The 13,706-nt window shown below is 38.2% G+C and overlaps 1 pseudogene; it reads right to left on the reverse strand.

Annotated features, from left to right (window-relative positions):
- Positions 1–8,666: 8,666 nt before the first annotated feature.
- R3HDM2P2 (R3H domain containing 2 pseudogene 2) lies at positions 8,667–10,944 on the reverse strand (annotated as a pseudogene).

Here is a 13,706-nt window from a genome sequence, read left to right on the forward strand (position 1 = left end):
GTAGCCAATAGTAGTTGGTTTATCTTCCTAACAGCTTTAGCAGAGAGCAAGCAAAGAAAATCAGCTGCAGGCTGTGAAGGTAGAAAAAGTATACCATGCATCCAATCACTTTCTCTGCCATTTTCATCTTTGCACAATATTTTGAGTGATTTAGGGGAGTTAGGGATTTAACACGTTGGTTTTTCATCACACAGACCCGTTTCCTCAGAGGCTAGAATGCATCACTTAGTACCTGGTGACCAAGAGCAATCGTAGCTTTACAGCACAGGGCCTGGAGTTTATTATTGTTATCATTACATTTACTTGAAGAATAAACAACTTAAGAATTTATGCATTTTATCTTAAGGCAAAAAATTTTATGTGGAAAACAACTTAACCCAGTTGTAAATTAGCCTAATTCACTCATCTAGAATAACCTAGCAATGATTGTCCAACCCTCCTCATGTTATAAGTGCTTGAATTATGAGTTTATTATATTTGCTATAAAGGATATAATCTTTTCTCAAATGGCTTTCCTATTTAATATCTCATCTTATTCTTATAATTTCCCTATGTGGTAAAACAAATTATTTCCATTATTTTAAAAATAAGAACACAAATTCACGAAGAGGATGAGAAACTTGACTAAAATCATAAAACCCAGTGCAGCCCAAGTATAGGGTGGCAGAGAATCAGGAGCCCCAGGCTCTGGTCCTGGTTTCATCTCTAATGAGCTTATCTTTGTACAACAGGGATAAAGTTACCTTCTCTATCTAAAGGCTTCACAATATGTAAAATATGAAGTACCTTCAAACCCACACAATAATAGACAAATAAAAAATGCTATTATGTAACATGAAAATCATGTTATGCAGTTGAGGCTAAATCTAGCTCTAGCTTCTATGTAAAAGAAAAAAGATGACTATTCCATACCACTCCTGGAGAGAAAAGTGACAGAAAATTTTTTTATGAAAGGAAAAAAAATTTTACATTTCCTGAAGAAAGAAAATATTATTTCCTACTGGGAGAGAAAGAATTCTTAGAGGAGAATGTGGCAAGAGTAATGAACTTTAAATCAGGACATTTGGGTTGAAGTCTTGCCTTTGGCACCAAGTAACTGCAACTTTTCTTAAATTCTTAAAAAATGTGGACCTCAATTTACTTCGTGTAAAGTGAGGTTAGACTAGAAAATATTGAAGGTCTTTTTCAGTTCTGACATTCTCTGTTGCTATATTTCTGCTTTCTAAGTGGAAAGCTTTTGTGAAATTGCTAAATACAGTACCAGCTCAGTTGAATTGTGGGTCCTAAAAATGGAATGTTCTGAATAATGGAATTTTCCATTTAACTGACAGTGAAGTTTATCTCAGTTTATTATCTTTCTTTATTCCTCCTCTTGCTACTTTTTTTGTTTTTGCTAATCCTCTGTCACAGGTTTGCCTCACACAACTGCCTGTAATACACCCTTTCCCTTGGTCTTCCTTCTTCCTTTAAGGGAAGTTTCACACTGACCTTTTGCATTTTTGGCCGTAGAGTTTCAACACTATCCTTGTTTTACATATGAAATATCACAACACTTCCAGCGCTCCACATTTTTGCAGCAACAAAAGAAAACAATATCAGAACATTTTTGCTGGGTCTGTAATTAGTAGAAATGGCCCTCAAATATGGCCATATTCTATTCCCCAGAACCGTGCATATGTGACCCTACATGGCAAAACGAGCTATACTGCATGTAATTAAACTAAGAATATTGAAATAGGATGATTAGCCACATTATCCGGGGGGACCCAATGTCATCATAATAGTCCTTATGAGGAAAAAAGGAAGGCAAGAAAGTCAAAGTCAGAAAAGATGTGAAGCCCTAATCAGAGACCAGAGAGAGAGAGCTTTAAAGATGCTACACAGCTGGCTTTGTGGTGCAAGGAACCACAAGCCAAGAAATGCAGGCAGTGCAAGGGGCCATAAGCCAAGAAATAAAGGCAGCCTGTAGAAGCTGGAAACAGCAGGGTAATAGATTCATCATAGCGTCTCTAGAGGGAACTCTGGGTTTTATCCCAGTAACACTCATTTCAAACTTCTGACCTCCAGACTTTAAGGTAATAAATTTGTATTGCTTTTTAAGTTACCAAATTTGTGTTATTATAGCAACAATAGAAAACTAATCCAAAGCTACTTGCTCTTCTCAGTAGTTGGACTCATTTGTAAATTGAATTTTGACCTAACTACTAGTTCCTGAAAGACCTTATCAAGCTGTGTATATTTTGAAATTTCCCACAATGATCTAATCACCAAGCTAGTTATTGAGGTAAAACAAATTTAAATACATCTGCTTTGTATCACAATGCAAACTGCATTGCATTTACATTCTGGTTAATCTATTGCTTCATAATTGATGTCCTCAGGTAATCACAATGAGCTGGCTTGTAAGAGATTTCTAGATAATGTTTAAAGTTGTTTGCAATCCTGAGATTACATGATTATATTGCAAAAACAAATTAGAAATCACCCAAACATATCAATTTATATCTCTTTACCTGGAGTGTACTCTGTATGACTATGATTAGCAGAATATAACATCTTAAATCTGACTGTCTAATGTACTTCTAGGTTTCTCTGAATTACCAGTTATTGTTATCTGGGTGTTTCTACAGTTGGAGCTATCTATTTTTTAGAATTCTTTCTGCCCTATTTACTTATGCAGAACTTGAGAGCAGCAATTCCCCCAACCCACCCGCCACCCATTATTAAATTATGCTCTATGAAACACACCCCTATTCCCCCATGGAAACACTCTATTTCTAGATTTCTTAAAAACTGTGAATGGAAAGTATACAATGTGTAAATAACAGAGTTCTTCACTGATAATTATGGTGACATCCATGAAGGGAAATAACTCAATAGCTTTCTTTGAAGATGTAATGAGTCAAAGAGGAAAAGAGTTGTCCAGATCAGGAAATAGGAAGGGAGAAAAATAAAAAATTTAAAAACAGGAAGTATACATGAATAAATAATCCAAAGTGTCTTTTCAGCGTCATGGTACTTTCAGGGTATTTATGCAGCCAAGTATTCCAGAAGCACAGGATTTAGATCAGATGGACCTAAGAGATGAAATTGGAGAAGTAAAGAGGACCAAATCAGAAATACTCTTGTATGTCAATGCTAAGGAATTTGGACTTTATCTTACAGGACACAGGAAGCCAATTGAGAACTTTAAATGGAGAAATAACATAGCTGCTTTTAAACACTTAGGAATCTATATGGGTGATAGATTTGAATGAGATGGTTATTTGGTTAGGAATTCAGCTTAGAAGCTGTTAACACATTCTTGTTGAAATAATGAGGGTCAATTGTCAAAGACATGGAGGACAGTGACATTTATTAATAGAATATGAAATAATGAGGGTCGATTGTGAAGGACATGGAGGACAGCGACATTTATTAATAGAATATGAAAGTGAAGTTGATGAAGACTCCCTCTCTTCACCACTACAATCACCAACACTAAGTTTTAATATTTAGTAGTCATGAGAGTCACCAAACAGGAGCCATAAAAGATGATAAATTTCATTTTAAATATATAAAGCCCTCTGAATGCTGAGACTAAGAGGAGATGTCAAATGAGCCATTGACAAAGCTTGGTTGAAAATATATTTGGAAAATTGTCAGTACATAGATGGCAAGAGCATTTGGTTGTTGGAGACTTGATTCTCCAGTTTCACTAAAGACCTGTAGGAACCGGAAACATTATTTAATCTCCCTGAGCCCAAGTTTTTTTTTTTTATTTGTAAAATGAATATTATAATCTAATATCTCATAAAATATTGTATAAGTTTTTATCTATATAAAGCACTTAGTACAATACCCATCCACACAGAAAACTTGATAAAAAGTAGCCAATTTAGATGAAGTCATGATGCAGAATGATACTACATACGATGATATCAAAAGATGAAAAGAATAAAGCCATGAGGTAACATTAATATTTAAATAGTGGACAAACAAGAAACTAATAAGTGTATAAAAGGACAGAGAGAGAGATAAGAAAATCATGGGAATGTAATGTTATGGAAATTGTAGGGCCATCAATGTTTCTTGGCATCCATCATTGACCAGGGAAGGATACAACCTGTGACAAAGGATTGATCAGTTGGATTTTCTCTCTCAAGTCTTTGAATTTTAGCACTATGATTCAAAAACAGAAAATTTTAATTCAATACTTATTCATTCTATAAGCAGTAGCCTGAAAAAATGTTGGACTGCCCCAAATTTCTGAGTTTACTTCCCATGTCTTCCAATTCTTGTTGTGATATCTTTCCCTTACGAATTGGTACATGTTTCTTGCAAACAAACAAACAAAAATCCTTATTGATATTTTAGAAATAAGAGAATAGCTAGCTTCATTTGGAGATAAAATAAGAACTGATACATCTCCATTAGATTTGGAAATCAGAAGGAGCTGAAACCTGATTGCAGTCGATCATGAAGAGTATGAGAAGTCTGGTAGTGGAGACTGTGAATGTGGGTTTCTCTTTCTAAAGAAGGTATGAGAAGAATATGACAAAAATAAGTTGTGTTAGAGGGAGACTTTTGAGTTTGAATTGTTTCATTAGATGTGAGAGGCATAAGCATGTTTATAATCTAGGAGAAACCAATGGAAAAACATATATTGAAGCTACAAGAGAAAGAGGATTGATGATGAGAACAAGACAGGAAAGAGGCAGGTTAAGAGGGCATAAAATGTGTGTATGGAAGAGATTAGTACTGAACAGGCAGAGGGCACTGTGTCTTATAGACTGGATACATTTTAAGGTGTTATGAGTAGGGAAGCTAAGGAAAATAACCTGCTGACCTTAGTTTTCTCCTTAAAGCAGGCAGGAAGATCTACAATTGAGAATAAAGGTGCATGGGTAAAATGTAGGTTTGAAAACTACAATAGAGAAAGTTAGACTGACTTTTAACGAGAAAAGAGGCAAATGAATAAAGACAAAAGAATTAATCAAATGTGCTAACAGTGGTGTTGACATTGAGACCATGAATATGTGCAACTTTTCGGCTGCCCAGATACAGGAGCAGAAAAATGCAGATTTTTTAACTAGAAGTTGGAATTTGTGACTAGATTGTTGTGTTCAAAACAAGGTGCAAGATAAAACCAATGAATTGAAGTAGAAGGGGTTTCAGGGTGAAAGAGAAGAAAAATGAGGAAAAGAGGGTGTGATGGGGAAGGATTTAGAACAGTAGCTGCTGCTGGTTATCTGGAAGAAAATTGAGGGAGCTTGAGGTGATTTAACATGATCATCATCTTTCAGCTTGAATGATATGTATAGTGGAATGAGGATCTGTGAAATCTGAAAACATAGGTGGTTATAAAAAAGTGAACTATGATCTGGAATTAACATTACAGAAGCTGCTAATGAAGATTCAATCCAAAATGAGACACAGAGAACAGGAAAGACAGAGGTCCTTGGATTAAGTAGAGCCAAAAATGTAAAGACTAAATTATTAAATGGATTCAAATCCTTTAAGATTATGGCAGGACTTTGAATGAAGGAAAAGAAGCAAATGTCTATACATGAGAAAGTCTGAATAGCTGACAGGATGATTGATTTAAAAAGTCACACATTAGTGCAGCTACATGAGAAGAACCACAGGGATGAAAAAGTATTCTTACATAAGACTGGCTGAATAAAGGGTTAGAAAGCAGCAGAAGGAAACTAAGCGAATGCAAACCCATCCCTCTGAATCTATTGACAATAGGGATAAAATCAAAGAAGTGAAGAAAAAATAGACACATTTCTACATTTGATTAGATGAAAATTACATGCAAATTAAGTAGGTTACATCATCATTCAACCCAATATAGCTGTTAGTCATCTGGGATATTTTAGTTTGGGTTTTTTTTTTTTTTTTTTGGTGTGCGTGATTATTCACAATCTGAAAATCATAATTCTTAGCTAACTTCCTCATTCTCCCCAAGATTTTTCTCATGGGCAAAAGTTTGGCAAGAATCTTATCACAATATTGATTCCTCTGGCCTAATAGAAGGTCAGAACTCAGCTACATGAGAAGAATCACAGAAGAAAAAGTATTCTTACATAAGACTGGAAGAATAAAGGGGTAGAAAGCAGCAGAAGGAAGCTAAGGAAATACAAACTCATGCCTCTGAATCTACTGACAATAAGGGATAAAATCAAAGAAGTGAGGAACAGAATTTTCTTGCACATTGCCAATCTATGACATGAGAATGATCTGAGGTGTCTTGCCCCTTAGCATTTTTTTTGGAAATCACATTTTGATTGGTTTACTGCAGATGGTTTTAGGATTTGCTTATGGCTAAAACTTTTACTCTCAAAATACAACTATTGTACAAAGCATAAAAAATACACACAGGATAGACAATATTTGGAGCTATAGCTTTAAGATGAATAATCACTTAATGGCTATGACTTATGTATGGTGACTAAAATACATAATATAATGACAGTAACAGTAGAAAATTTAGGTTTAAAAATAAGAAATATATACAATTTTTTGATAAAAGTATAAGGTATTATTTTCAAATATTTTCATCCTTATATAAAGTATTGGCTCCTAATTGGGACAGAATTCGTTGAAACAGAAGCAATTTTACAACATAAGCCCACCCAATTCTTCCAGGAAGATGTGTTCTAGTTTAAGAAGGGAAAAATAAACCAAATGTGTTATTTGAAATTCAAAAGAATTATATGTATCACCAAACTATCTTAAGCTTCCTCAGAGTACAAATATAATACATTCCATAATAAAATACTGTTTAAAAATTCTGAGTAAATGGCCATTCCAAAAAAAAGTGCCACAGATCATATATTAATTTCTGAACAGCATTACTAACTAGTAGATTCAGCCAGATCCAAAGGTTTCCGTTTATTCAGTGTGGTGCACAGTTTTGTAAAGTTCCCTATTGGTAAAATGTCAGAGCTGTTACTATTCATGAATTAAATTACAACTTTGTATCAAACAAAACTGAGCAAAACTAACCACTTGGTTCTTAAAGATACCTTCAAAACACCTTGACTCCCTCGTTGAGCCATATTTTTATGATCGCTTATATGTAACCCTGATGTTAGTCATACTGATGTCCTTAACAACTATATAATGGTCTCAGCTGGTCTCTCAGCATCATTTCTGGGCCATGTCTCCATAAGATAGGCAGGGTGATCTTCTCAAAATGCAACTCTAACCATGTTATTCCCCTCCTCAAATGTCTGCTATGGCCATAACCACAGCACTGTAGGCTTTAGCCCTGTCTTTTTCTGATTCCACCTCAAGGCACTCTGCCTAGCTCTCCAATACAACCATATTCCCTTCATGCACAGAGCCTTTGCATGAGATAGCCCTTCTTCATGAACTGCTTTCTCTCTTCTCCCTCTCTCACTACACTCTTCATCTATTTCACTGTTCCTTTAGGGCCAAGCTCACAGTATATTGCCTCAGAGAAATTTTCCCTGCCACCTCATGTTCCATCAACCTTACCCTGTTGCATACTGTGCTTTGCTAGCACCTATGACAGTTTCATTAATGACAGTCTCCTCCACAAGACTATAGAGCTCGGTGAGGCCAGGGCACGTGCACCATGCCTGTCACTGTATTGTCTATATCTAGCTCAACACCTGGCATTTAACAGTCCTTCAATTTGTTTGGTTGAATAAATGAAGAAAACCCTAAATAAAATGACATTTGTGCAAAAGCTTTCATTTCATCAATGTTCACTCTAAAATTTATATAATTTTAATTTGGGAACTTAGAACATTTCTACATTTTTTAAAATCTGAAATTAATTGCAAATAAAAGTGTTGCTTAAGGAAAAATTGTGAAAAGAATTTGTAATGGGCAAAAGATTACTGAGTATTCTTCCAATGGAATGCTGAGTTGTATTTTTTTCCAGTGACAATTTTTTTTATATTTAAAAACAAAATCAACTTTGCCCCCAAATAGCCCTCAAATAAAAAAAAACAGATTAAATAAAATTTACAGTGAATATACCCAGCAAACATCTATTTGTGCAATTAAACACTGTCTATTACTGTGGCACAGATATTAAACAAACAATATACAAGTGTTCTTGGAGGTGAGGGGAGTTCCCAGTGTTAACTCTGTGGGGTTTGGGAAGGCAAGATGAGGAAGTGAGAGAATGTGGAAATCAATTTTGTTTATCATAATTCTGTCCATATTTCTGTCCATATAAATACATTCATAAAGACAAAAAAGGGCCAGGAGTGGTGGCTCATGCCTGTAATCCCAGCACTTTGGGAGGCTGGGGCGGGTGGATCACCTGAGGTCAGGAGTTTGAGTCCAGCCTGAGCAATATGGTGAAACTCCATCTCTACCAAAAAATACAAAAAATTAGTCAGGGTTGGTGACATGCACCTGTGGTCCCAGCTACTCAGGAGGCTGAGGCAGGAGGATCACCTGAGCCTGGGAGGCAAAGGTCACAGTGAGCCGATATCAGGCAACTGCACTCCAGGATGTGTGACAATGAGACTCCATCTCAAAAAAAAAAAAAAAAAAAGGAAAGGGAGCTTGAGATGTTTAAAATAAAAATTGGAGAATACTTATTCCTGAACAAAAAATAGAAGAGAAAATAGATTAAAATGATACAAGTGGATGGGAAGAAGAAGGAAGCAGAGGGGCCAACCAGGGGAAAAAAGGGGACCCAAAGAAGGAGAGCCTGAAGGAATCCAATGCCAGTGTGGATGTCCCTCTGTTTCGGTCTTCATCACTACTGTCTTAGGCTCCAGTTTAGCGTCAGTCTCCTTACTTTCTGTCTCCATCCACAGTCTATCAGGATCCTTCAACACCCTCTATCCTGCCCCCGCCCCTTCTGGGCTGCTCCCTTCCTCTTCTCCATTTAGTGGGTGCTGGCTCACTCCGGGATCCTCAGGTCATAGTTCTTTTTGGCCATTCAAAGTGTGAAGCTATTCAGGGAGTTGTTGAGATGAAGGGAGGCATTTTGAGCAGCCAGCAGGTTAGGGAACACAGCCATGATGGTGTAAAAGGCAGCAAGGTCCAAGCAGTTGCCATTCTCAGCAGTCCCACCATTGTCCCCTCCACCCCCACCAGGCAGCCCCTGAGCTGGGTCTTGGCACTGGACATGGCAAGCTGCTTAAAGAGTTTGTCTGCCTCGGTACAGGTGATGCCCTTAGGGAGATCTGTTACCTCCGGCCCCTGCCCCAAAACAACATCTGCTGTCCCCATGTCAGAGAAGGCAGATTTGAGTGCTTGTCTCTTGCCCTGGTTTTCATGCTTCAGTCCACTCTGTCCCTGGTGTACTGTGTAAGTTGACTGGTCATGCAGCAAGGGAGGGCAGATGGACAGATTATACTCTAAAGGCTGGCCTAAGAGGGAGTAGCACCCATCACCCTGTGCTGGACCCCCAGGCCAGGGGAACCATCTGAGGACAAGCAAGGGACTGAGTCCTGTGCAGACAGCCACCACTGAGGCTGGTGACAAGAGAAGGTGGCAAAGCCTGGGTAGGAGATGTGTCAGGGCTGCTGCTCATTTGTATGTTGGCCTGGGGGCTGATGTCAGGACTGTACAGGTCTCCAGGCTTCTGCCCCTCATGGTCCATGTTGTAGTATTTACAGTGACTCCACTGGACCCTTGATGGGTTCTGAGTGGGGTCAGGCTCCATTAGCGAAATTCAGCTCATGACCACCACACCTGGTCCAGAAGGTGACACTCTTGACTGCTACTGCAGCATCTGTGGTAGACGGCAGGGAGAGGGAAACTGAATCATCTGGTACTGCTGAGACCCAGGAGGTTGCAAAACCCCAACAGTAGGGCTTGTACCGTTCTGCTGAGCCAGTGGGATCATGCTGTAGTACACTGGTATGCCCCCTGTTGGGGGGCCTCCTTACCCAAACTGGCTCACAGGGGCCAGCATGAGTTGCTAGAAAGGGTGCTGGACCACATTTTGTGAGTAATTACCCACTGAGACTTGGTAAGAAGGCAGTGAAGTGTACTGAACCACCAGGCCTTGCATCTGGGCCTCCATGCTGCTTCTCTGACTGCTGAGCAGGCCCTGGTTCTGTGGCTGCTGGACCCCAGTCATTCCTTGGTAAGCCACCTGCTGCTGGTTAGGCATCATGGGCTATAAACTGGGCTGCTGGGATGGCCGAGCCAGCTATTGACCACATCAGGATCTGTAGGCCACCAGGTGAGAGAAAGGTCAATATTGCTGGTTGGAATTAGGATATTGTCCAGGGGGATTAGAAAGAAACCTGGAACTGTTGGTTGAGAAGGCTGCATGTAGCCCCGGGGTAGCAGCACTTGCTGAGTAGGTGGTGCATGGCTAGAGGTGGAACAGTTAGAGGTGGGGAGGGACTGACCCATGGAAGCCATGACGAAGTTAGTCCACTGACGGTGCTGGGAGATGAGTGGGGGCTGGAACAGAGCTGCCGATCAGTCAGTTGCTTTAGTAGAACCTTGGCAGCTAGGGCTCATTTGTCTAAAGGACTTGCTGAGGTCATCTGTCTGTGAGATCATGTGATTATTCAAGGGTGGCTGTTGCTGAGGCGTGGGTGGGAGAGCACAAAGTTGCTGCTGCTGCTGCTCCTGCTGCTGCTGCTGCTGCTGCTGCTGCTGCTGCTGAACAAGGGAGAAGGTTCGGGATAGACTGGGATGAGGTGACCTGGTTGCACATTTCTGGGGCATATAGTGCCATACCTGGCCTGGAGATCCTTCCTGCATTGGCACATTTACTGCTGCCAATGCAGTCACCTTGGGTGAAGACAGAGATTCTGCTGAACCTGCTGGCTTTGGTTACAGAGGGTCGCATGTTCTGGACAGAGCCACCAGCGTTCGTGCTGCTCCAAGGCCATGGCTCCAAGGGATTTGAGTTCACTGTTCTGTTCTGGCAGCTGCTTGAGGTGCAGCTGAACCTTCTGCAATTCCTCCTGATGTCATTTATATATCCTTTCTGGCCAGTCTCTTGGGGGGCAAATATTCTCTCAGACCCTTGGATATTTGTCCCCTTTCTCTTCTATTGACTTGCTTCTCCTTCCTAAAGCACCACTTTTATTTGTAATTAATTTCAGATTTTAAAAAATGTAGAAACATTCTAAGTTCCCATATTAAAACTGTATAAATTTTAGAGTAAGGATTAATGAAATGAAAACTTCGTACAATGTCATTCCATTTAGGGTTTTCTTCATTCATTCAAAGAAACATATTAAAGGACTGTTATATGCCAGGTGCTGAGCTAGATATAGACAATACAGTGATGGGCACAGTACACATGGCCCTGGTCTTACAGAGCTCTGTGGTCTTGTGGGGGAGACAGTCATTAATGTTGACAGTTTCATCTATGAAATGGGCAAGTATTGTTGAAATTTAAGGAACATATTCACATGGACAGCTGAGTAGTTAAAAATTAATTCAATCTTTTAAAGCCACAGTATGGGATATACCTTGATTTTTTTATATGTCATTTCTTTGATCAGGATCTTCCACCCTAGAGACATAAAAATATGCTAATTTCTCCAGTGATTATAACAGGATTAATACTGGTAATCATTTGTTGATCCTACAGGGAAATGATAATAGTACATCTATACTAAAGAATGCTACACATCAATAAAAAATAATACAGCAAATCAATAGATGAGGACATTGAAAGACTACCAAGATATTTTACTAAGTACAAAAATGTTTTGAGATAATATATATAGTATATGATATGACATCACTCATTTTAAAACTCCACAAAAGAGAAGTATACATTGATACATACATACATGCATATATATATATATGTGTGTGTGTATATATATATATATAATTAAATACATCTGCAAATACATAGAAAAATAGTCTGGAAGGTATTTACCAATTGATGATAGTTGCTATGTTTGAGAAAGAAACTCAGATTAGAGCATCAGACACTTAGTACTCAAGATAATCAAATCATTGGTTCTATTTGAGTTAAAAATATGACATTGAATTTAAGTACAACTTATACATTTATAATTTTTAAAAGAGAAAAAGAAAATAGACAAATTATACTGAAGAAGTAAACAAGTCTTGTAGTGACCACTTTTAGCACCAGCAAGTGAAGGCAACCATAGAAGAAGAAAAATGATTTTATCTCTGACATTTGAACCAATGAAAGGATTCTTGTGCCAGAAAAAAGAATGTGGTCGTGGTCTTCATTAAAGGAGAACTAAGAAGCTATTGCCTAGATACTCTCCCCTCATTCCACAAATGTGGGTAAGAATGCCATTGAAGGACTGAAATGCAGAGCTGCTCTCCCCAAGTCTCCATGGAGCTCTGAGCTCTAAGAGGTAATTTTAGGACCACCTCTGAGGAGTGGCATCTAATGTCACCTAGCATCTAACTTAGATAGTCACGAAATCTAGACCAGAGTCCATGAATGAAAACTGTACATTTCCTAAATTTTAGGAACTTTCTTAAGGTTGTCATTTTTATTTTGTCTTACCTGTTTACTTGTGCTTATTCTTAGGAAGAGAAATAAACCAGGAAATTGGGGAAACCAGTCAATATTAAAGGAGAAAAATTTGCCAAGATATTAAATTAGTTATGGTAGTTTTATAAAGCAAACGCAAGCAAGATATTCAGGGTTCATTGGTGTGGAGGCAGAATGATAGTTCCCCAAAGAGGTCTCCATCCTAATCCCTTGAAACTGAAAATATATTACTTTATATAGGAATGGGAATTTTGCAGATGTAAAAAATCATCCTGGATTACACGGGTGAGAGTGATGTAATCACAAGGGTCTTTTTAATGTGTCAGAGAGAACCAGAGAGAGAAAGAAGATTTAAAGATGTTATAATCCTGGCTTTGCAAATGGAGGAAGGAGCCACGGGCCAAGACAACACACAACCCCACCAACACCTTGATTTTAGCCCTGTGAGACATTTTATATTTCTGACACGAAAAACCATAAGACAAAGAACTGTGCTGTTTTAAGCCACTAAGTTTGTAGGGATCCTGATTTTGTTCCTATACTTTAGGTACTAATGGGCCTTAGAAAAATTTCTTGTCATACTACTTTATATATTACAGATGAGAAAATTGAGAGCTAAAGAAGTGAGGTGATTTGGCACTCAGCTATTAATGAAAGAATTAGGACTAAGATGTTCTGACATCTCCAGATGATATGGAAGATGGAAAAAGGAAGAGAAAGTGTTGCTCACCTTCATTTTCCCTAAATTTTTGTGATTGGCAAATATAAAAATTGAGTAATATCAGGTACATGCTAAGGTTAACCCACACTGTATGCACAGCAAATGCAACATATTAGTAAAATCTGGGGACTGCTCAATGCAGAGTTAAATTTTCAAGAGAAGATGTATGTAGAGCTAGATTTTAAAGTAAATTAGAGATATTCATTTTCTGGTTTTCTCTAAATTTCTCTGTAGTAACTTTAAAAAGGTGCAGTAGTGAAAGATAAAGGCACAAAGATGGGATCCTTCACATATTAATGGATAACTAACCAAAGACTAATAAAAATTCAATGATCATGCTGATTAGATTATTCTGGATTGTTTATCACCCTGCAGGCAGTGCCCACACCCAGCTTCTATTACAAATTATGCAATTAAATGTAGCTTTGGAAGTTGTATTTGCATCTCTCACAGAATGTCTAATTTGTTCCAATAGTACAGAAGGATAATGTCTTGAAAGTTCCAAGGATCAAAATAATCATCTGAGGTCTTTTAAATAAACTTTTT

The sequence above is a fragment of the Homo sapiens genome, chromosome 6 (genome assembly GCF_000001405.40).
Source record: "Homo sapiens chromosome 6, GRCh38.p14 Primary Assembly".
NCBI classification, from domain to species: Eukaryota; Metazoa; Chordata; class Mammalia; order Primates; family Hominidae; genus Homo; species Homo sapiens.